Source organism: Homo sapiens, chromosome 7 (genome assembly GCF_000001405.40).
Source record: "Homo sapiens chromosome 7, GRCh38.p14 Primary Assembly".
Classification (NCBI taxonomy): Eukaryota; Metazoa; Chordata; class Mammalia; order Primates; family Hominidae; genus Homo; species Homo sapiens.
Window position 1 is genome coordinate 4,449,829 of NC_000007.14, and position 25,364 is coordinate 4,475,192.

Genomic DNA, 25,364 nt, shown 5'->3' on the forward strand with positions numbered 1-25,364 from the left:
CCAAATCTGGTGCTCCCTGTGGGACCCTGCGTGGCATGGTGTGGCGTGGTGCAGCATGGCATGACGTGGTGCAGGGGTGTGGCATGGCGTGCCACAGCGTGCCTCCTTCTCTTGGGAATGTAAATAATAAATACTTCTTTCAATGGCATTGCCTTCTCTAGGACATTCCCTCACAAATTAAAATCCCCCCAGTACAAATGAGGCATATACCTACCCAGCAACTCTGTTACTAGAGAAATAAGTGCATTTGCCTGCCAAAAGCACAAACTATGATGTTCAGACCAACTTTATTCATAGCAGCCCCAAACCTAAAACAACCCAAATGTCCATTAATAACTAAATGGAGGCTGGGCATGGTGGCTTATGCCTGTAATCCCAGCACTTTGGGAGGCCGAGGCGGGCGGATCACTTGAGGTCAGGAGTTCGAGACCTGCCTGGCCAACATGGTGAAACCCTGTCTCTACTAAAAATACAAAAATTAGCTGGGCATGGTGGCGAGCACCTGTAATCCCAGCTGCTTGGGAGGCTGAGGCAGGAGAATCGCTTGAACCCAGGAGGCGGAGGTTGCAGTGTGCCAAGATCGTGCCACTGCACTCCAGCCTGGATGACAAAGTGAGATACTGTCTCAAAAAAAAAAAAAAAAACTGAATGGATACATCAACTATCACATATTAGACAATGGAATATTATAGAGCAATAAAAAAGAATGCTACAAGCAGTATCATGCATGAATCTTATAAGTCAATATTCTGTTGACCAGACACAAAATAGTGCAGTGTGAGGTTTCATTCATGTAAAATGTGAGACAGGAGAACTGATCTGTGTTGATGTGAACCACCTTAGTACAGCTCCCTCTAGGGTCAGATATTGACAGGCTAGAAGCCAAGGGAGGCTTACTTTTGGGATCATGGGGATGTTGTAAATTTTTTAGTGGGGTAAGAGTTACACACACACATGCACACACGACGTACACTTTCTCTGGTACATTTCAGTGGGTGTCTATCTTGTACCCTAATAAAAAAGGTTTTTTTAAGGAAAAGATAAACTCAAGATAGAATTTTATTTTTTATTTTTTATTTTTGAGACAGAGTCTCTGTCTGTCACCCAGGCTGGAGTGCAGTGGTGCAATCATAGCTCACTGCAGCCTCCATCTCTGGGATCAAGCGATCCTCCTGCCTTGGCCTTCAGAATAGCTGTGACCACAGGTACGCACCACCACACTGGCTAATTATTTTATTTTTAGTAGGGTTGGAGTCCTGCTAAGTTGCCCATGCTGGTCTCAAACTCCAGGGCTCAAGTGATCCTCCTGCCTCAGCCTCCCAAAGTGCTGGGATTGCAGATGTGATCCACCGTGCCTGGCCTCAAGGAAGATTTTAAAAATAAAAGTTATGTTCCTGGATGTTTGAATGCACAAGTCAACAGATAGGAGAAGAGGAATCTCAAAGCCCCATGACTGAGAATAGTGGTACCCTTGACGGAAATAGATAAAAATAATAAATGGGCTGGGCGGCTGACCTCCATTGTTTGGGACATTTTGAGTTTGAGACAAGGGAAGGGGCCCTAAGCAGAAATGCCTTGCAAATGGGTGGAGATCCAGGACGGGAACTGAGTTCACTACGGGAGCTGTAGACTTCCAAGGCTTCAACATGCAGTAGGTGAAGTATGAAGGCTGGGTGTGGTGGCTCTGTAATCCCAGCACTTTGGAGGGCTGAGGCAGGAAGATCACTTGAGGCCAGGAGTTCGAGACCAGCCTGGCCAACATGGTGAAACCCCGTTTCTACAAAAAATTAGTTGGGCATGGTGGTGCACACCTGTAGTCCCAGCTACTCTGGAGGCTGAGGTGAGAGAATTGCTTGAACCCAGGAGGCAGAGGCTGCAGTGAGCAGAGATTGCACCACTGCACTCCAGCCTGAGCGACAGGGCAAGACCTTGTCTCAAAAAAAAAAAAAAAAAAAAAAACAAACAAAAAAAAACAGTTCTCTCTGGCTGGGTGCAGTGGCTCACCATGCCTGTAATCCCAGCACTTTGAGAGGCCAAGGCAGACGGATCATTTGAGCTCAGGAGATGGAGACCAGCCTGGTCAACATGGTGAAACCTCGTCTCTACTAAAAATACAAAAATTAACTGGGCGTGGTGGCTGCGAGCCTGTAGTCCCAGCTACTTGTGAGGCTGAGGCAGGAGGATCGTTTGAGCCTGGGAGGCGGAGGTTGCAGTGAGCTGAGATCACACCACTGCACTCCAGCCTGGGCAACAGAGCAAGACCCTGTCTCAAGGAAAACAAACTGTCTTAAAAACACCAGAGGTCTTCAAGGAAAAGAAGATTATCAAAAGTACTCACATTCAAGATTACTCCTTGGATAATGTTCACAATTAGGAAAGATAAGGAATGTGGGCCCCAGAGGGGAGGTGATGTTTGCAGAAGACAATGGGATCTTGCTCACAGGGGCAGAAATGGATAGCGACGGTGACAAGGGAGGCCTTGGCTTTCTTCCTTCTCTCTTTTGTGACACCTGCATGGATTCTTCATTCCTTTTCGCCATTTATCGAAGTCCTCGCCTCTAGGAGATGTTGCAGTGAAAGTTTCCCTGAGAACAGTCAGCTCCTAAGCCCCCAGCCTCACCCAGGCCTCCAGCTGTCTCCATCTACCCCCTGTCAATTCTGAGTTCCCTTCATTCAAACGGAATTCAGACACAAAACGGTTTTTTAACTCGATTGGGGAATATCGTCACTCTTCTGTACTAGCCTAGAGATGGGCTGAGAGGTCATTTCGAATAATTATCACCTGATAATAGAGCAGATGGCAGTCACCAAATCGGGCAGGCCCTACCAGTCGGCGTCTCTGCAGCTAATTCACCTTCATTCCTGGACAATTTATTCTAACTAGATTGCATTTCATGATAGCCACTTATGTTCTCTGCTTTTCAAGGTGCCCAAGAAACTGCATTTCAAAGGATTTTAATTCTACAAGAAGCAGTTCCTCCCAAAGCTGTGACAATTGGCACGGATCCATACACCTAACACGGACCGACTGAGACATCACCATTGTCCTCAGTCATGGCTGGGTTTTTTTGTTTTTTTTTTCATTTTTACCTCTCTCTCTCTGCTTGAGCTTTGCCTCTCACCTACAACCTCCTTCTCACCTATGCCCCTCCAGTCCTCTCTGACAGTACCATATATATGCAGAGAGAGAGGGAGAGAAAGGTCTCAACAACCCTGACGTTATTCCATAGATAGACAGACAGATAGATAGATAGATACATACATACATACATAAATACATACAGATAGACAAATACATACATACATACATATAGATACATATATGCATACATAGATACATAGAGATAGATAGATAGATATAGATAGAAGATAGATAGATAGATAGATAGATAGATAGATAGATAGATAGATAGATAAACAGCTACATGGAGAGAGAGAGAGATCTCAGTGGCTCTGACCTTATGCCAGAGAGAGAGAGATAGACAGACAGGTACATAGAGAGAGAGAGAACTCAAGAGCCCTGATCTTATGCCATAGATAGATACATAGATAGATATGGAGAGAGAGAGAGAGAGATCTCAATAGCCCTGACCTTATGCAATAGACATAGATAAATGATAGATGATAGATAGATAGATAGATAGATAGATAGATAGATAGATATGATAGGCAGGTACATAGAGGGAAAAGAGAGAGAGAGAGAGATCTCATCAGCTCTGACCTTATGCCATAGAGGTAGGTAGGTAGGTAGGTAGGTAGGTAGGTAGGTAGATAGATAGATAGATAGATGACAGATAGACGATAGATAGATAATAGATAGATAGATACATATATATATATATATATATATATATATATATATATATATATATATATACATAGATAGATACATAGAGAGAAACAAAAAGAGAGAGACAGATCTCAACAGCCCTGACCTTATGCCATAGATAGATAGAGAGAGATTATGCTGCCGTGGTAGTAAAGCTCTACATAGAATAGGTGCTGAATCACTCTCCATTTTTAATGAATCAAATTCAGCAAACAGAAAAGCAACTCGATTACAGACATCACTTTTCCTACTTTATCCTGGCAGCCATTCCCGTTATCTCTCTCTATCCTTTAGTTTGATCCTTTTAATAAGAATTCTAAGGGAGCTGCCTACACTATGAAAATGCACCTCTCCCCAGGAAGCCAAACACTCAGGATGCCAGATGTGTGTTTTTGTTGTTGTTGTTTTGAGGTGGGGGTCTCGCCCTCTCGCCCAGGCTAGAGTGCAGTGGCACGATCTTGGCTCACTGCAACTTCTGCCTCCCAGGTTCAAGTGATTCTCCTGCCTCAGCCCCCGAGTAGCTGGGATTACAGGCAAACGCCACCATGCCCAGCTAATTTTTGTATTTTTAGTAGAGATGGGGTTTCAGCATATTGGCCAGGCTGGTCTCAAACTCCTGACCTTGTGATCTGCCTGCCTCAGCCTCCCAAAGTGCTGGGATTACAGGCGTGAGCCACCGCGCCCGGCCGGCAGGTATTACCTCTGTGAATGGGTCATTACTTTTAGGAGGGGAAGTGAATAGCCTATTTACTAGAGGAGAGTATGAAGGCAACAACATATAATCACTTAATTTGGAGCAGACCTAGGCCTGAATCTCAGCACCTTTGATTTAAAGGGAAAAAGCAATTAAAGGCAGCTAGCTGAATGTTCTTTCAACTCAATGAAGTCATTCAATCAGTACATAAAAAATGACTAGCTTCTGAAAGTATAATTTAATCCCAAGTTGAGGATAGAATAAAATGCAAAGATTGGCCTAAATGCATAGAAAACACAATCCAAACAATAGATCATTTTGGAATTTCCATGATTTCATTGGTTTTCTAGCTCCATTTTGTTTTACAATCATTCTACTTCTCCAACACATTGGCCAATGTGTCATTCATCCTACATGCCCAGTATCTTTTTTTTCTTTTCTTTTTTTTTAGACAGAGTCTTGCTCTGTCACCCAGGCTGGAGTGCAGTGGCACGATCTCGGCTCACTGCAAACTCAGCCTCCCGGGTTCATGCCATTCTCCTGCCTCAGCCTCCCAAGTAGCTGGGACTACAGGCGCCCGCCACCTCGCCTGGCTAATTTTTTGTATTTTTAGTAGAGACGGGGTTTTACCATGTTAGCCAGGATGGTCTCGATCTCCTGACCTTGTGATCCACCCACCTCGGCCTCCCAAAGTGCTGGGATTACAGGTGTGGGCCACCACGCCCAGCCTTGCCCAGTATCTTAACCCCTCTTAGCATTTGACAAGTTCTCATCTTCTTGGGGAGTTGGGGGAGGGGATCCACATGGAGTGGTAAAGACTGCTCCCACGACCAGGCCTGAAAATGCTAGACCTCATTTTCCCAGCTTCCTTTGCAACTCAAGCAGAGACATGTGACCTGCCCTCTCCAATCAGTACACACCTTGTGTTGACACCTGAGCTAGTGATATAGGAGGCCGGGGACAGGGAGCTCTGTCATTACAGTGTCCTCACCAGAACCAGAACCGGAAATGTAGGGGAGTGCCTCCAACACGAGGATACTAGATATCTAGGGAAGGGGACATCAGTCAAAAAGAAAAGATCACAGAAAGGGTCAGAAAGACATCAACATCACAGAAGTGGCACAATTTCACTGGGAGGTGAATGAGTTCAACTCATAACAGAAGGGGCCTAAGATAGGGTCAGCCCTAGGAAAAATGAGAAATTTGCTTTTGATTTTTCTAGCTTATTCTGGAACTCTCCCTCCCTTCCTCTGTCATCTCCCCAAACATTTCTGAATGTCTAATATATACTTAGTGACCAGATGCCCACTAAGAGCCGCCCACCTGAGTCCCCAAGCCTCCTCAATTTTATAGGATTTTTCTTCTCCCAGTGTACAAAGTCGTACAAAGTCGAGCCCTCCGTTTGTAACTCACTTATAACTATATGGTGTCATGTTACAATTAGAGGCCAAGGTGTCTTATCTGAAACACTTGGGGCCAGATGTGTTTCAGAATTCAGCATCTTGCAGCTTTCAAAAAGATAATACATTGCGTCCACAGCTGCTCTGTAGTGCGTTAAAACCCCTGAGGGATCTGGATGCAGCACCCCATGATCAAAACCATTAATATTTCTGCAGCAAAAGACATGAATATTCAGAGTAAGTGGGGAAAATAATGATTATAAATAGTCTCTCATCAGCTCAGGTCAGGTTTTGCAGCTAACAGAGCTCCAAAAACTTTCAGTTTGCAAAACTTCTGAATTTTGGAGTTGCATGTAAGGACTGTGGACCTGTATTGACACATCTTTCTACCCTACCCGGCTTAGCTGGCTCCCTACCCATCCATAGAATCCGACGTCTCGGTATAATGTCCGACTAAATAAATGATGAATGAGGTCAAAAAGGAAGTGTTGAAAAATCAAAATGAATCCCATATTTTTCCCTCCAAAGTGCTGCCCTCCTAGAGGAAACTGGCTGATCTGATCAACTAATACAGAAGTGGGCAAACTTTTGTTTTGTTTTGTTTTGAGACAGAGTCTTGCTCTGTCACCCAGGCTGGAGTACAATGGCATGATCTCAGCTCACTGGAACCTCCGACTCCCGGGTTCAAGCGATTCTCCTGCCTCAGCCTCCCAAGTAGCTGGGATTACAGGGGCCCACCACCACACCTGGCTAATTTTTGTATTTTTAGTAGAGACGGGGTTTCACCATGTTGGTCAGGCTGGTCTCAAACTCCTGACCTCAGGTGATCCACCCATCTTGGCCTCCCTAAGTGCTGGGATTAAAGGCAAGAGCCACTGTGCCCGGCCTGAAGTGGGCAAGCTTTTTCAGTAAAAGGCCAGATAGTAGTGTTCAGCTTCGCAGGTCAGACAGTCTCAGTTGCAACTACTTACTTCTGTCACCGTGGTGCAAAAGTAAGTTAACAGGCGTGGCTGTGTTTCAGTAAAACTTTATTTACAATAACAAGAGGAGGGCCGGAAGTTGACCCGCAAGTCACATTTTCTGATCCCTGGACTATCCATGCAAATGTCTTATTTGATGATCTGGATTCATTCAGCAAACAGTTACAGGGCTTCCCCCAAGTCCTGGGCACTGTGATTGTACTGGAAATTCAGCAATAAAAAAACAAGTTTCTGCCTTCATAAAGCTTACATTTTTGTTGGGTGTGGTGGCTCACACCTATAATCCTAACACTTTGGGATGCTGAGGCAAGAAGATCGCTTGAGGCCAGGAGTTTGAGGCCAGCCTGGGCAACAAAGTGAGATCCCATCTCTACAAAAATGTTTTAAACTGAGCCAAGCACAGTGGCTCACGCATGTAGTCCTGGCTACTAGGGAGGCTGAGGCAGGAAGATCACTTGAGTGCAGCGGAACTAATTTTTTTAAAAAGAATGTGGTCAGCTGGGCGCAGTGGCTCACGCCTGTAATCCCAGCACTTTGGGAGGCCGAAGCAGGCGGATCATGAGGTCAGGAGGTCAAGACCATCCTGGCTAACACGGTGAAACCCCATCTCTACTAAAAATACAAAAAATTAGCTGGGCGTGGTGGTGGGCACCTGTGGTCCCAGCTACTCGGGAGGCTGAGGCAGGAGAATTGCTTGAACCTGGCGGGGCGGTGGAGGTTGCAGTCTGCTGAGATCGTGCTACTGCACTCCAGCCTGGGCAACAGAGCAAGACTCTGTCTCAAAAAAAAAAAAAAATGTGACCAAGTTCGAGACCAGTCTGGCCATCACGTCACTCACTCCAGCCTGGGGGACAGAGCAAGACTCTGCAACAGAAAAAAAAAAAAAAAAAATTAGCTGGGCGTGGTGGCAGGCACCTGTAATCCCAGCTACTCTGGAGGCTGAGGTAGAAGAATCACTTGAACCCAAGAAGCGGAGGTTGCAGTGAGCTGAGATCGCACCATTGCACTCCGACCTGGGCGACAGAGCGAGACTCCGTCTCAGACAAAGAAAAGGCTTGTCAATTTGCCTAAAATGATATGTTAAATAATCCAGTTTTTGCCTGTGATTTGAAAGCCAATGCCACATCATCACTCACCAGGTTCCCATGGGTACTTGAACCTATTCCTAGATTCCCAAGTCTATTCCTTGGCCTTTCTCTATTCCTGCCCCAAAGCCTTAGCCATCTCCACGAGCGCTGCTCTGTCATACATCTGAGTGTCTGCTGAGGCTAATGCTCCTTTGTTCTGATGGCTGTAACCTTAGAGGTGCCCCCCGACCTGAGATACTCGCCCCTCTCTCCGTGAGAGTTGGAAATTGTAAGATGCCAAATTGGGGAAAATAAGAGCCAGACTCCACCTGTATCATCAGAGTTTGCTCAGGAAAATAGAGACCGATTTAACATTTCCAGCTCGGAGAGACTTAATACAAAAAATTAGAGACTTAACAATAATAGCATGAGGAGGGAAGAGTTGGTGTTGGCTCAGGAAACTGGCAAAGGCTGCCAACAGTCTCAGCTGTTTTCATTTCCCCATCATGGGAAGTGCGTGGGTGTGCGCTCCAGCCCGCACAACTGCGGGAGGGCAAGGCAGTAGGCAGGGGCCTCTGACCTTGCAGAGATGCCTCCTGCGGACCCTCGGTGGAGAAGCCATGTGAGTGAGAGATGACCTTTTGTTAGATTAAGCACCTCAGATTTGGGGCTGTTACCAAATCAAATCTATGTGAAAGCACAGCCTTTCCTGACTCACACAGTATGTTAGACTTCGAGTTTAAAAGGGAGGGATTCACTCTCTCTCTCATTCTTTCAACACACACATACACACACACACACACACACACACACACACACACACACACCCCCTCTGTTTTTCAAACCAGCAACTAATTACAGCTGGTTACCTATGGGGCCAGGGAGGAATGGGTGGAGGGAACAGAGATGGAATTCCAACTTCCTTGAATATTCTGTGTTACATGATTTTGCTATTGGAACCACGTAATTACTTAAAATAGCTTTCTTTAAAAACAAAATTAAATCAAAACAAAATAAGACAGGCAGTCTCCATGACTCATGCCTGTAATCCCAGCACTTTAGGAGGCTAACGTGGGAGGATCACTTGAGTCCAGGAGTTCGAGACCAGCCTGGGCAACACAGCAACACGTCATCTCTACTAAAAAATGTAAAAGGTTAGCCGGGTGTGGTGGTACATGGCTGTAGTCCCAGCTACTCGGGAGGCTGAGGCAGGAGGAGCACTTAAGCCCAGGAGGTCAGGGCTGCAGCGAGCCAAGATCATTGTGCCACTGCACTCCAGCCTGGGTGACAGCGCAAAACTCAAGAAAGAAGAAAAAGAAAGAAAGAAGGAAAGAATGAAGGGGTGGGGGAGGGAGGGAGGGAGAAAGGAAGGAAGGAAGGAAGGAAAGAAGGAAGGAAAAAAAAGAGAAAAAATAAATAAACAAAACAGTATAAGTAAATCCCTAAAAATTTGCACCAAACTGAAATGAAGGGGCCTAATTGTGCATAAAATTGATAGCATAAGCACACAAAGAAAAGAATTATTAAGAAATATTCCACACAATTTTAGAATATGAGACTTTGAGCATACTTTCTTAGTGGGTCATATTTTGAGCACTAAAATAAAATAAAACTGCAGCCACATTTGTTTTGCTCTAGTGTTAAGTAATATTGATATTATTATTTTGAAACAAGCCAAGGTAGATCATAGGTGAAACAAGATTTTCACTATAAAAGGAAGGAAATACAACTGTAAAATTTAGAAAGTTTTTATTTGCTGGATTTTGTTTTTGAATATTAAATTTTAAACATTTAAGTTAAATAAATAGATTTTTTAAATTAAACTAATATTTAAATGACTTTAAATTTAAATGTTCAATAGTAACATAAAAATATGAAATACTGAATAGTGACACTTGAATTCTCAGAATGAACTTGTGATTTTCATAAGATGCATGTGTCTGGCCAGGCGCAGTGGCTCACGCCTGTAATCCCAGCCCTTTGGGATGCCAAGGTGGGTGAATCACGAGGTCAGGAGTTTGAGACCAGCCTGGCCAAGATGGTGAAACCCCATCTCTACTAAAAATACAAAAATTAGCCAGGCGCAGTGGCAAGCGCGTGTAATCCCAGCTACTTGGGAGGCTGAGGCAGGAGAATCACTTAAACCTGGGAGGCAGAGGTTGCAGCGAGCTGAGATCGCACCTTTGCACTCCAGCCTGGGTGACAGAGTGAGACTCCGTCTCAGAAAGAAAGAAAAAAAAAAAAGATGCATGTGTCTACTGAAAAGATGTAGAAGCAAGGACAAGCCAGGGTGTCCTAGGTGCACATTACAGGGACAGCGAGCACCTTTGCACCTGTATTTTGATATCTAAATATCAGCCTCCTCTAACAGGAACCAACATTCCTTGTAGAAACAGCTGACCCAACATCTGAGACCAAAGGGCATGTGATAAGCCTGGGACATTTTGTTTTTGCTCAAAAAGCAAGGTCATTGTCAAAGATTCATATGGCGACCTTAAAAGGACGAAGGGTCCAGTTTGAAAGGCCGCCCACTTCACGCCTTTTGACTCTTTTTCAACTTGCATTAAGATTTCTTTGCTCATCCACAAGTTATTTAGCAGTGTGTTTTTAAATTCCCAACTTGTGAGCATTTAAAAATTGACCTTTTTGTATTAACTTTTAACTTGGCCAGGTACCAGTGGCTCACACCTATAATCCCAGCACTCTGGGAGGCCGAAGCAAGAGGATCACTTGAGGCCAGGAGTTTGAGACCAGCCTGGGCAATATAACAAGACTTCATCTCTTAAAAAAAAAAAAAATTATCCAGGCATAGTGGCATGCACCAATGGTCCTTGCTATTTGGGAGGCTGGGGCAGGAGGATCACTTGAGCCCAGTAGGTCAAGGCCGCAGTCAGCTATGATTTGCACCACTGCACTCCAGCCTGGGTGGCAGAGCAAGAAGCTTCTAACTTCATAGCCATGTAATCAGAGAACAAAAGCTGTATGAAACCTGTTCTGTAAGATTTATGGAGGCTGCTGTGTGGCCTAGCAACCACACAATTAGTGTCTGCAGGTGGTCAGGGCTCTCTGTGTATCTAGCACTGAAGGCAGAATTCCATGTGGGTCAAGGTTGTGGCTTGTGCGGATCTCCCATATCTTTGCTCATTGATCACCTGATTGGCTTATCAATAACTGAAAGAATTGTAAGGGTCTATTTATCAATTTCCCCTGCAGTTCTGTCCATTTGTAGCTTCATCTGTCTAGGGATATTTTACCCAGTGTATCCCTGTATAGAATGGCTGTATCTTCTTGCTGAATAGAACCTATTACCATTATGCAGAGACCAACTCTATGCCTTCTAATGCTTTTTGTCTTAAAGTCCATTTCGTCTAATATTTACCTAAGTACCACAGTCTTTTGGGTAGTATATTATTACGGCCAGATATTTTTCTCCATCCTTTTGTTTTCGACCTTTGCGTGCCCTCTGCTTTAGATGTACCTTTTAAAACAAGAGACAGAGGTGGAAAGAGTAGTTAGGATAATAGCACCCCCCTCCTCCTCCAGAGAAAGCTGTAAAATCACTGACTTCTGCAGACGTGGCTTGGATTTAAGGGAGGGGCCCACTTCAGCCCCTGCCCATCTTGTGGTTCCCTAGATGAAGTCAGAGAAATCAGATGGGGAAAGAGCAAATTCCACGTAAAAGAACCCAAGGAATCTGGGTATCTCCGGAAATGTAGAGAATGCAGGCGCCCTCAGTTCTCTTTCCTTCTTTTCTTTTGCTATATTTGGCCTTGGTTTTCGTTGCTTTTTAACTCTCCATAAGGTCAGACACAGAACTTGGGGACCAGAAACTGAAAGAGCGTGGGGGAAAAGAAGAACTTGGTAGAAAGAAACCCAGTGAAAAGCCACCCCATCAGGGCAGGAAGTGCCCCTTCCTGGGTCTGTTAGTTCTACACCACTCTGTGAAAGAGACTCCACATTTCAGTTACGTTGTGAGCTCCTTCCTCGCGTGCAATATCCTTTTCTGCTAAATCAGAAGATCCTCAATTTAGAGCAAAACTTGTACGTCCACATTTAAGTTCCTTTATGAGCTCCTTCCTTGCGTGCAATATCCTTTTCCGCTAAATCAGAAGATCATTGATTTAGAGCAAAACTTGTCTGCCCAGAGAAGCAAACCAAGGTCAGCGCGTGGGTGAAGCACCCAGCCTTAACCATCAGGGAGCAGGGGGGCATCTGGTGAGTGAGGCAGTACTGGTCCCACCTGAAGGCAGTTTTCAGATCCATGGAAACACTGGAGCCGTTTGGAAGTGTCCGGTGATGGAGATGAGTGCCTGGTTGGTTGAAAGTAGTCACGGCTGTGAGGATGGCGAGCCGGGAGGAGAAACACAAGGCAAGCAGAATGAGTTAGACTCAAAGTCTCAGGAGCAATGCCGTCACACCTTCTGTCCCATTTTCTTTTCTGCACATGTATACCTGATCTTCCGGTGAACTACAGAGAAAGAAGGGACTTACGGACATTAAGTAGAAAGGAGCAAAACTTGAGCCGGGCGCAGTGGCTCACGCCTGTAATCCCAGCACTTTGGGAGGCCAAGGCGGGTGGATCGCCTGAGGTCAGGAGTTCCAGACCAGTCTGGCCAACATAGTAAAACCCCATCTCTACTAAAAACAGGAGAAAAAAGTACCTGGACATAGTGGCGGGTGCCTGTAGTCCCAGCTACTCGGGAGGCTGAGGCAGGAGAATCACTTGAACCCGGGAGGAGGAGATTGCAGTGAGCCAAGATCACGCCATTGCACTCCAGCCTGGGCAACACGAGCGAAACTCCATCTCAAAAAAAAAAAAAAAGGAGCAAAATTCAAAGTTTTTAATTGAGTTGCACGTACATCAGGCTTTTCAAACCAACTTATCAACTTGAGAAAATAGCCTTTGACTTCAAGAGACAGACTCAAACTCATGACATGTTTCTTTTTTTTTTTTTTTCTCTGTTTTGAGACAGAGCCTCACTCTGTCACCCAGGCTGGAGGGCAGTGGTGCGCTCTCGGCTCACTGCAACCTCTGCCTCCTGGGTTCAAGCGATTCTCCTGCCTCAGCCTCCCAAGTAGCTGGGACTACAAGCACCCGCCACCACGCTCAGCTAATTTTTGTATTTTTAGTAGAGACAGGGTTTCTCCACATTGGCCAGGCTGGTCTCAAACTCCTGACCTCAGGTGATCCACCCTCCTTGGCCTCCCACAGTGCTGGGATTACAGGCATGAGCCACAATGCCCGACCTCATGACATGTTTCAATTGAGACATGACTATCTACTCAAAATAATTTTTTTTTAGAGAAGACATTTAAAACGGAAACTTTGGAAGTCAGTTTACCCACATGGATCAAATGCTTTCTAGAAATACCACACACTTAACCTAAAAATTTCACTCATAGGAGCTTGTCCTAAGACCAGAAGGGGACCATTGGATGCAGATGAATGTATGAGGATGTTAACAGCATTGCTTTTTATAATAGAGAAAACTCAGAAAATAACCTAGATGACTATTGGTAGGAGATTGATGAAACAAATAATGGCATACCTATGCAGGGGAATACTTTACAGCCATTAAAATTATGCTACAGATCAATAATTATTAACATGGAAGATAGCCATTGCCAAAAACAACATTGCTTTTAAAAAGAAACGTGTGTACAAAAATATGCTTACCTTAAAAAATGTTTGAAAATTATTCATCACAGTGTTAACAGTGCCTGTCTGAATGTTAGGATTATTGGCAATCCATTTTTTCTTTGTGCTTTTGTATATTTTGTAAGTTACTTGAAAGAAACACACATTATAATAATGTATAAAAATTAAAAGTTATTAAAAGTCCATTGATAAAATTCTTTCAACATTTAAATGAATAATTGATCTATGTATGGCTTGTGTTTACTCTAAGTTATAAATTCTCAAAGAATAGGGAGCATTTTTTCTTCTTATATTCTCTCCCCAGCTCCATACGCAACACTGCGTGTAATAACTCTGTAATGGCTGTTGATTGACTGGGTATTTAGACGTCAAGCATTGAGGAGATATTAGCAAAAATAGCTAAGAACTAAATTGCATGGCTGGGCCTTTGGCACTAGAATGTTAATAATTGAAAACTAAAACCTTCAAGTCATTTGTTTTTATTATAAATGAACCCACCTCTCACAACTCCCCTTCGGTTTTGAAATCCTGCCAAAGTGTTTCTTCTGATCCCATCCTTTGGCTAATGTGAAAGTTTTAAAAGCTTCTTAATGACATCATTATCCTGCAAATCATCATGAAGGAGACAAAAATGAATCAGGTTTTTGGTAAAGCCGTGCATGGATCTGTGATTTCTGATATGGGAGCAGAGATTGTCTAGGCAACTTTGAGAAGGTAATAAAGTCTTATTTGGCAATCTCAACTTTCTCACCAGCATCTTTGACCTCTGTGTCAGTCAGCTATTGCTGTGTAACAAACAGATCAAAAAGAATTCGGTGGTAAAGAAAAATAGCATGTGTTTTTTGAACTAAACTGGGCTCATCTGGGAGTCTTTGCTTCTTCAAGCTACGAGTCTGGTCGGCCCCACCCCTTCCACCTCTATGATTTGGATCTCAGTCTGCACCATGTGTACTCATTATGGGGTCCATGTTCAAGGGCCAGAAGCTATTCAGGGGAAGCTCTTCTCATGTAAATAACGGAAGGGCAAGAGTGCCTGTCCAACTGTGCAAGCATACAGCAAATCTCTGCTTGTGTCATCTGTGCTCACATCCTTTTGGCCAAAGCCAATGCCCCACATCAGTACAGCAGGAAAATAGATTCTGCCTCCGTAAGACTACACAGCAAGCATGCATGTTAGACAAACAAGAATTCAATTTACCACACCCTGCATTTCAGCAAATCTCATTCACCACTTCTCCTACTGAGCCATTCAGTGTCTTCATGCAGTCCCTGGCTTCTTCACACGGAGGTATTGTGAATGGAATGAAAGGAAATGAAATTTGTATTATTAGAAAGAGTATCATGTGGGAACATTACTGAACCCCAGGAAATGAACTGTAGGATTTCAGACAAGACAGCCCTCCAAGACACTTCTACATAATCATCTATGCTGCCCAAGGGAAAAGCCAGTCTGGCCTGAAGTGGTAAACTGCACCTTCCTTTTTTTCTTTCTTTTTTTGTTTTTTGTTTGTTTGTTTGTTTTTTGTTTCAGATGGAGTCTCGCTCTGTCACCCAGGCTGGAGTGCAGTGGTGCAATCTCGGCTCACTGCAACCTCCGCCTCCTGGGTTCAAGCAATTCTCCTGCCTCCCGAGTCTGGGATTACAGACACCCACCACCATGCTCAGCTAATTTTTTTTGTATTTTTAGTAGAGATGGGTTTCACCATGTTGGCCAGGCTGGTCTTGAACTCCTGACCTCAGGTGATCCAACTGCCTCAGCCTCCCAAAGTGCTGGGATTGTAGGTGTGAGCCACCACGCCCAGCCTACACATTCCTTTTGAGCAAATAAAGGCTGATGTGATGTTTTGTTGGCCCAGTTCTTTTTTCCTTTGAAGATTCTTCGGAGAGGAAAAACTCTTCCCCAGCAGAGGTGGGTGCAGGGTCTGGTAGATTGAATTCTTGTTTGTCTAGCATGCATGCTTGCTGTGTAGTCTTACAGAGGCAGAATCTACTTTCCTGCTGTGCTGATGTTGGGTATTGGCTTTGGCCAAAAGGATGTCCAGCATAAATGACACAAGCAGAGATTGGCTGTATGCTTGCATAGTTTTCATCTCTCTTAGTCATCTTGTAGCCAGAACGGAAAAGAGCACAGGGCAGAGGCACAGAGAGAATTGTGCCAGGCACACAAGGAGAGTGCTTACAAGCTGAGGGAAGAATAGAGTCCACTTTGCCTCGATTTGAGAAGATACACGGTGATTGCCGCCACAGCGTGGGGCAGGCAGGAGGTCACCTCCACCGGCTGTTGTAATTGGCACCATCTGAGGAAGAGCATTTAGATTTCCTTCAAATTGCTGAGTGGGAACAGCATTTACGCTAATGACTCCTTGCTTTAAATCTCTAGGGAAAGCGTATGAAATTTTCCTTTATAGAGTTGTAAATGAGGCTGTGTTTTGTGGGGGACAGTGGTGAGGTATGCGGATAAATGGGTACCCTATTAGGAATGTTGAAAGGAGGCAAGTTGTGGGTTAAAGAGGACTTCTGCAGGGTTAGCAACTAACAGAGGCTTTTAGCTTTTTCTCTCCAAATCTAGAAGCTCATTGGCAATTTTCGTGTCTATTGTGTTCTGAATGAGAACGGGCATCCGTAGCTCTCAGGGGCTTGAACATGGCTGAGATGAGAGGAACACAGAGCAGTCTCATCACTAACACAAGGCAGTCCATGGTGAGACCTAGAGATGAGTACCAAAAAAGAGGGAGGCTTGAAAATAGGATGGTTGGGCCGGGTGCAATGGTTCACGCCTGTAATCCCAGCACTTTGGGAGGCCGAGGCAGGTGGATCACTTGAAGTCAGGAGTTCAAGACCAACTTGGCCAACATGGGGAAACCCCATCTCTATTAAAATACAAAAAAAAAATATATATATGCACGTGTAGTGATGCACACCTGTAATTCCAGCTATTCAGGAGGCTGAGCCAGGAGAATCACTTGAGTCTGGGAGGCGGAGGTTGCAGTGAGTCGAGATTACGCCACTGCACTCCCGCCTGGGCAACTGAGTGAGACTCCAGCTAAAAAAAAAAAAAAAAAAGAAAAAAAAAGAAAAAGAAAAGAAAGAAAAAGAAAAAGAAAAGAAAATAGGATGGTTGGAGGGAGGGGGGTCCTCAAGCATGGCTCTCAGACTGGCAGCTTCAGCATCACCCAGGAGCTTGTTAGAAATGCAAGTTCTTGGTTCCTACCCAAGCCTGCTGAATCAGAAACCCTGAGGGTGGGACCCAGCAACCGTGACCTTGAGAGGTGCCCCAGCCATCTCAGGCTCCTTGACCTACCACCTAAACTAGGGAGAGAAATCAGGATCAGGCCTCCATGGGTCAGGCATTCCATTCCAACCAGAGCTCAGTAGCAATATTAGTCAGTAGTAGTATTTGTGTTGAATAAGTTCACTGAAAGCTGATCACAGTGAATGAACAGGAATAGGAGTCTAAGAATGTGAGAATATAAGGAAACCAGCCTCCTCTTGGAGGCAAGTGGAGCTAAAATAATATAGAATCTAGGCACATGTGGCTCACGTCTGTAATCCCAATGCTTTGGAAGGCTGAGACAAGAGGATCGCCTGAGCCCAGGAGTTCGAGACCAGCCTGGGCAACATGGCGAGACCTTGTCCCTACAAAAAACTTAAAAGTTAGCCACATGTGCTATTACGTGCTTGCAGTCCCAGCTACTTGGGAGGCTGAGGCAGGAGGATTGTTTGAGCCAAAGCATTCAAGGCTGCAATGAGCTGTGATTGCACCACTGCACTCCAGCCCAGGCAACAGAGTGAGACCCCATCTCTCCAGGTGACATCCTCTGAATGCCGAAAGCCAGGTCTATTCCTGGACTTTGCAATTACGTGAACCAATAAATTTCTTTTTCATCAAAGTCGTTCTGAATTGTGTTTTTCTGTCCCTTGAAATTTAAAAACTTCCAACAGATACTGATGGTTTAGGGTCTAAAAGTCAAAGGTGCTGCTGACTTCATTACAGCACACACACACAAAAATGGAACCACTGGTGTCAAGATGTGAGGCTGCTCTTGGCTGGAGAGGACCAGTCTGGAAACTCCAGTCGCTTCCAGGCCCTCAAATCATAAATGTTTGAGATTATGAATAAATATGGTAATTGCTTTGATCTGATCACTATAAATTATTATGTATGGCAACATCATTATGTATTCCACAAATATGTACGATTATTATATGTTAATTTGATTTTTTTAAAACAGGTATTAAACAAAACTAGAGTTTTTGGGGTTTTTTTTCTTTGTTTTTTGGGGGGGGTTTGTTTTGTTTTGTTTTTTGAGACAGAGTTTCGCTCTTGTTGCCCAGGCTGGAGTGCAATGGTGCAATCTTGGCTCACTGCAACCTCCACCTGCTGGGTTCAAGCGATTCTTCTGCCTCAGTCTCCCAAGTAGCTGGGATTACCGGCATGTGCCACCATGCCTGGCTAATTTTGTATTTTTAGTAGAGACAGGGCTTCACCATATTGGTCAGGCTGGTCTCGAACTCCCGACCTCAAGTCACCCACCTGCCTCGGCCTCCCAAAGTCCTGGGATTACAGGTGTAAGCCACCATGCCCAGACAAGTTTTTTAAATAAAAACATTGTATAATAATTGAGAGAGATTCCTCAAGCCCTGCAACCCCTGCTCGGCCCACCAGAGTCTCCAAGCACACCACACAGGAAGATGTAGCCCCTGTCCTTTGGCATGGAGTCCATGAGCCAAAACAATCTGCATCACCTGGAAGCTGGCTAGAAATGCAGGTTCCCAGGTGCCACCCAAGACTTTTTGAGTCAGATTGTGCATTTTAACAGGATCCCCATGTGATTCCACTGATATGCACATTAAAGCTCCAGAAACAGTTTAAACCTAATCAATAGGCAAAATTATGGTGGATGAAATCCCAGCTATTTTAGCAATCAAATTGGATTTCTACTCATTCAATCGGATCCAAAGCTACACCTCCAATGATCAAGATAATCAAACCACTAAGTCACCCTATGACTAAGTATGACTCCCTTCTCACACTGCTATGAAGAACTTCCTGAGACTGGGTAATTCATAAAGGAAGGAGGCCCAACTGACTCACAGTTCCACATGGCTGGGGAGGCCTCAGGAAACTTACAATCATGACAGAAGGGTAAGGGGAAGCAAGGCACATCTTACATGGCAGCAGAGAGAGAGAGAGAGGGAAATGACAAACACTTTTAAACCATCAGATCTCATGGAACTCACTCAATATCATGAGAATAGCATGGGGGAACCACCCCTATGATCCAATCACCTCGCACCAGGTCCCTCCCTCAACACCTGGGGATTACAATTGGTGATGAGATTTGAGTGGGGACACAGAGCCAAACCATATCAGACTATAATATGATTTAGTATAATGTACTATAATTAATATATAAACACACACTCGTGCACATGCACACACCACAAACACACGTGCGCATTTAGACAGGGTCTCACTCTGTTGCCTAGGCTGGAGTGCAGTGGTCCAATCATAGCTCACTGCAGCCTCAATCTCCTGGGCTTAAGTGATCCTCCCACCTCAGCCTCCTGAGTAGCTGGGACTGCAAGCACATGCCACTGTGGCTAATTATTTTATCTTATTTTTTTGTAGAGATGGGGTCTTGCTATGTTGCCTAGGCTGGCCTCGAACTCCTGGGCTCATGCAGTCTTCCCAAATCAGCTTTCTAGAGTGCTGGGATTACAGGAATGAGCCACCACACCCAGCCCGGTTATATTTATATTGTATAGATTTTACTTTGAAATGCACAGGGCACTAGAAAGTATTTTTTATGAATGTGTGTTTATCTAATTGTGTGAATGTAATTCTACAGAATATTAAGACAAAATATGTGCTTTGAATGACGGTATTACATTAACCATGACCATCAGCATTATGAACAAAAGTTGTTGAGTGGTGACTCAGCTCTTAACTTCATACATTTCCAATTGACCGAGGGTCCAGAATAGCTCACCGGATACTTGGTTGGTACCAAAAATCATTCCTTAGAAACGAAGACAGCTGAAAGGGAATCAGAAATCTCCCAACAGTTCCTCTGCTACAGAAAGTAAATTCTGTCTTACTTCCTGAATGTCAAAGTGATTTTTTTTCTGGCTTCCTCTGTGATTAAAAAAAAGGACTGCTTGGAAGGCTTTGGAAAGTTTGTTTTCATTTCTGGTCATTATTCATGGCACAACTTCAGGGTAGCAGGCACCAAAGGGATAAGAATAGCGTGGGTGCTGCTATGCAGTGAGATCAGGCACAGTAAAGACTATGAAAGAATAAAGAAAAATGACCAGAGCTTGTTTTTAAAAAATACAGAGCTGAGTCTATTCAGATGCAAGCAAAGGAGGAAGAGCTCATGAAGAAATGCACTGAGCATAACACAACATTTACATTCTGGATAGGGGGCCCTGCTGGTTGTGCTAATGGAGGATTGATCACCAATGTTGTGGTTGCAGCAGAATGAGCTCACAGGTGTGTGCATGGGGGTTAAAACAAGCCCCGTTGTTCATTGGCATGGGAAATGTCTTCAGTTTGGTCCAGAGGGTATCAGGGGTCAGTCCAAGTGCATGCGCCTCTGTCAGCAGCAGCTGGCTGGGGCCAGGTGTGATGGAACACAAGGGGCAGTTGTGATGTGTCTTAGACAGGTGCTGCTGTGGTAGAAATTTTTATTTGCAACTCTAATTCACTTAGTCAGCACCTGTGGATCCTCTGATATTGATCACTTCGTTCTGATCTTTGCTCTCATGTCATGAGATTGGAGAGGCTTTTCTTGTCCTAAAATCGCATCCCCTCTCCACTGCTGACTCTAGTTCACATCTCTGCATAACTCCTGTCCCTGTCTGTCATCCTGTGAAAGGGAGTGCAGTTATTAGACCCCAGCATCTTTGCTGCTGTCTCATCCACTTCTAGTGGAAGCTTCATCAGGAAAGGGCTTTTTTGTGTCCCCCTATGCATCCGCCTGAGTGTTCAGCACCTAGGACAGTGCCTGGCACCCAGTAAGTGCTCAGTAAGTGTTTCTGAGTAAAAAGCAATACATCAGGCCGGGCGGGTGGCTCACGCCTGTAATCCCAGAACTTTGGCAGGCAGAGGTGGGCAGATCACCTGAGGTCAGGAGTTCGAAACCAGCCTGGCCAACATGGTGAAATCCCGTCTCTACTAAAAAATATGAAAATTAGCCAGCCGTGGTAGCTCACGCCTATAATCCCAGCTACTTGGGAGTCTGAGACAGGAGAATCACTTGAACCTGGGAGGTGAAGGTTGTAGTGATGGAGATCATGCCATTGCACTCCAGCCTGGGTGATGAGAGTGAAATTCTGTCAAAAAAAAAAAAGCAATGCTTCAAAACAAGGGAATAGGGAGAGATTTCTGGGTTTTTGGTTTGTTTTTTGGTTTTTAAGACTTAGAGTCTCGCTCTGTCACCCAGGCTGGAGTGCGGTGGCACAATCATAGCTCCCTGCAGCCTTGAACTCCTGAACTCACACCATCCTCTTGCCTCAGCCTCCAGAGTAGCTGGAACTACAGATGCATGCCGTCGCACCTGGCTAGTTTTGTTTTCAGTTTATGTTGAGACAGGGTCTTGCTATGTTACCCAGGCTGGTCTTGAACTTCTGGGCTCAAGCAATCCTTCCATCTCTGCCTCCTAAAGTGCTGGGATTACAGACAAGAGCCACTATGCCCCACCGAGATTTCTTAAAGAACACAAAATTACAGTCAGATAGGAGGAATGAGTTCTAGTGTTTATAGCATTGTAGGATGGCTACAGTTAACAATAATATATTATGTGGTTTCAAATCACTAGAAGGAGTATACTGAATGCTCCCAACACAAAGAAATCCTAAATGTTCGAAATCATGAATATGCTAATTACTGTGATCTGAGCACTATAAATTATATGTATTGCAACATCATTATGTACCCCATAAATATGTACAATTATTATATGTTAATTGTTTTAAAGCAATGCATCGAGTATTAGACAAAACTAGAATTGGTTGTTTTTTGGGAGTTTTTTTGTTTTTGTTTTTGTTTTCGAGACAGATCTGGGTCTGTTGCCCAGGCTGGAGTGCAGTGGTGTGGCAGAGCGAGATCTTTCTCAGCTCACTGCATCCTCCCCGTCCTGGGTTCAAGCGATTCTCCTGCCTCGGCCTCCCAAGTAGCTGGGATTACAGGCATGTGCTACCATACCCGGCTAAGTTTTGTATTTTTAGTAGACAGGGTTTCACCATGTTGGCCAGGCTGATCTTCAACTCCTGACCTCAGGTGATCCACCCGCCTCATCCTCCCAAAGTCCTGGAATTACAGGCGTGAGCCACCACGCCCAGCCAAAACTAGAGTTTTTAAATAAAAACATTGTATAATAAAACATAAGTCAGGGCCAGGTGCAGTGGCTCACACCTGTAATCGCAGCACTTTGGGAAGCCCAGGCGAGTGGATCACCTGAGGTCGGGAGTTCAAGACCAGCCTGACCAACATGGAGAAACCCCCATCTCTACTAACAATACAAAAATTAGCCGGGCATGGTGGCGCATGCCTGTAATCCCAGCTACTCGGGAGGCTGAGGAAGGAGAATCACTTGAACCCGGGAGGCGGAGGTTGCAGTGAGCCAAGATTGTGCCATTACACTCCAGCCTGAGCAACAAGTGCGAAACTCCATCTCAAAAAAAAAAAATCATAATTCAAATGCTGTAAAAAAAATCATAATTCAAATGCTGTATACTTCAGTTAAAATATTTCTCAAATCCTACGTTAAAAAGCATAGGATCCAAGTGCAGTGGCTTACACCTGTGGTCACAGCACTTTGGGAGACTAAGGCAAGACAATTGCTTGAGTCCAGGAGTTCAAGACCAGCCTGGGCAACATAGCAAGAGCCTGTCTCAACAACAAAAAAATAAGATAAAATAATTAGCCATGATGGCATGTACCTGTAGTCTCAGCTACTCAGGAGGCTGAGGTGGGAGGATCACTTGAGCCCAGGAGGTTGAGGCTGCAGTGAGCTATGATCGCACCACTAGACTCCAGCCTGGGTGACAGAGCAAGATCCTGTCTTGATTTTTTTTAAAGCATAGGGAGATGGGAACACTCATACCCTGCTTTGGAAGACAATTTACCAGCATCTGTAAAAATAGCAAATTCTCCTACCCTTCCATCCAAGAGTTCTCCCTCTCTGACTCTACACCAGCCCCCGTACATAGGACGTCAGAGCACACATGTTCACAGCAGCCTCATTTGTGAAAAATTGAAAATGAGTTACAGTCTCTCTCAGCTGCTTGCTTCCCGTGGGCCTCATCAGAGCACACAGCAGGCACTCGGCGAATGCAGCCCTCATTGTCCTGCAGGATGCCTGCCTCTCCTCTCTCACGGTCAGTGCCGAGCCATCTGCATGAGTGACCCAGTCTGCTCCACCAGCGACCACTGTCTCTTTCCACAGTTCCCACCCCTAACAGGCTGTCTCGGATTTGCCATGGTCTAGCAGCTGAGCTCCACCTGCTGAGTGGCCGTAGCCTCTACAGGTTCTGCTCGACGGAGACTGGATGGCTGGCGCAGACGCCACTGGGTTTCAGCTCAGCCAGACTCAGGCATTTAGGGGAACCTTTGTGAACAAAAGGCCCCAAAAGAGCTGGTCACTTGGGCTTTGCTTCAGGAAGCAGAAAGGGAGACACGGTTTGTCTCACAGGGAGAGCTGCGACTTTGTCACAGAAGGCTGAGTTACCTCTGGGGCTCGGCCAACGGCCGTCTTCAATGCCCCCACATCCATCGGACAGGGAAGGCTTTGTGGACCCTTCTGACTTGTCAGGCCTGGAGTTCAGTCCTAGAGCTCCTTGACCGATCACCTAAACTAGGTGTATCAAGCAAAGAAATTGGGATCGGGCCTCCGTGGGTCAGGCATTCCATTTCAACTGGAGCTCAAAGCTTAGTAGCAATACTAGTCAGTAGGAGAATTTGTGTTGAATGAGTTCACTGGAAGCTGATCACAGTGAATGCAAAGATAAGCACTTACAGGCAGTGCTGAGAAATTCCACAACAACAGGGATGAAGAGGAAGTCCCAAAAGATTCCAAAACAGAGAGGGAGAGAGACAGAGGCAGGGGAAAGGGAGAGAGAGAGGAGAGGAGAGAGAAGAGAGACAGAGAGAAGACAGAGAGGGAGAGAGAGAGGAGGGGAGAGGACAAAGAGGGAGGAGAGAGAGAAGACAGAGAAGAAAGAGAGAGGAGAGACAGGGAGGAGAAAGGAGAGGGAGAGGAGAGAGAGAGGGAAAAGAGAGAGAGGGAGAGGGAGGAGAGAGAAAGGAGGGGCCGGGCGTGGTGGCTCATGTTTGGGAGGCCGAGGCGGGTGGATCACCTGAGGTCAGGAGTTTGAGACCAGCTTGACCAATATGATGAAACCCCATCTCTACTAAAAATACGAAAATTATCTGGGTGTGGTGGCATGCGCCAGGCCACCTATACAGAACAAAGAGGAAGATTCTAGCTCCTGAATCATACCCTGAGTAATAGGAAGTTTATTTTAACTCAAAGAGGCTAGAAATTGTTAGAGTTCATGCTAAGCCCTGACCCATCAGTGGTGGCAAATAGCAGCGAGCTTGTCCCACTGCATGCAGCTCTGGTTGGATCAGCGTGAGCCACTGTGTCACTAAAGAGGCCAGGGCACAACAAGTATTCCACACACACAACCACTCTTAGGACGTGGTGGCTCACGCCTGTAATCCCACCACTTTGGGAGGCCGAGGCAGGTGAATCACAAGGTCAGGAGTTCAAGACCAGCCTGGCCAGCATAGTGAAACCCCATCTCTACTAAAAATACAAAAAATTAGCTGGGCATAGTGGCGCACACCTGTAGTCCCAGCTACTTGGGAGGCTGAGGCAGAAGAATTGCTTGAACCCGGCAGGCGGAGGTTGAGGTGAGCCCACTGCACTCCAGCCTGGGCAACAGAGCGAGACTCCATCTCAAAAACAAACAAACAAAACAAAACAAAAACAAAAACCAATTCTATTGCAATGTTTACTCAAACACCGTCATTTTAATTCTGGCTCTCTTTCTTTCTCTCTCTGTATATATTATGTATATATTTCTCTCTCTCTCTCTCTTCTCTTTCCCTCTCTCTTTCTGTATTTCTTTCTCTCTCTCTTTTTCTTTTTCTTTTCTTTTTTTTTTTTTTTTTTTTGACAGGGTCTTGCTCTGTCGCCCAGGCTGGAATGCAGTGGTGCAATCTTGGCTCACTGCAACCTCTGCCTCCCAGGCTTAACCAATTCTCCTGCCTCAGCTTTCTGAGCAGGTGGGACCATAGGCACACACCACCATGCCTGGCTAATTTTTGTATTTTGTTTGTTTGTTTGTTTGTAGAGATAAGGTGTCACTATGTTGCCCAGGCTGGTCTTGAACTCCTGGGCTCAAGCCATCCTCCCGCCTCGACTTCCCAAAGTGCTGGGATTACAGGCGTGAGCCACGGCACCTGGCCTCTCTTTGTTTCTCTTTCTCTCTCTTTTTTCTTTCTCTTTTTTTCTCTTTCTCTATTTCTCTTTCTCTTAATAATTTAATCTTTTAAAAGTTATCTCACATGGCAAAGCTTTGGCTTTACAAAGCGAACAAAAAAAACTTCCCCATGAAAAGTATCCTGATTCATTACCACTTTTTTTCATTTTTTCCTGTTTTTCAGTGCGTTTGACATATGCGTCATTGTCGTAGTAGCACGTGTATAATTTTAAGTCCTGTTT

General features: G+C 45.0%; 1 long non-coding RNA gene across 1 annotated transcript in view; it reads left to right on the plus strand.

Moving 5' to 3' along the window:
* Positions 1-25,364, plus strand: part of LOC124901579 (uncharacterized) — a 41,965-nt gene that overhangs the window by 15,351 nt on the left and 1,250 nt on the right. The window lies entirely within an intron of this gene.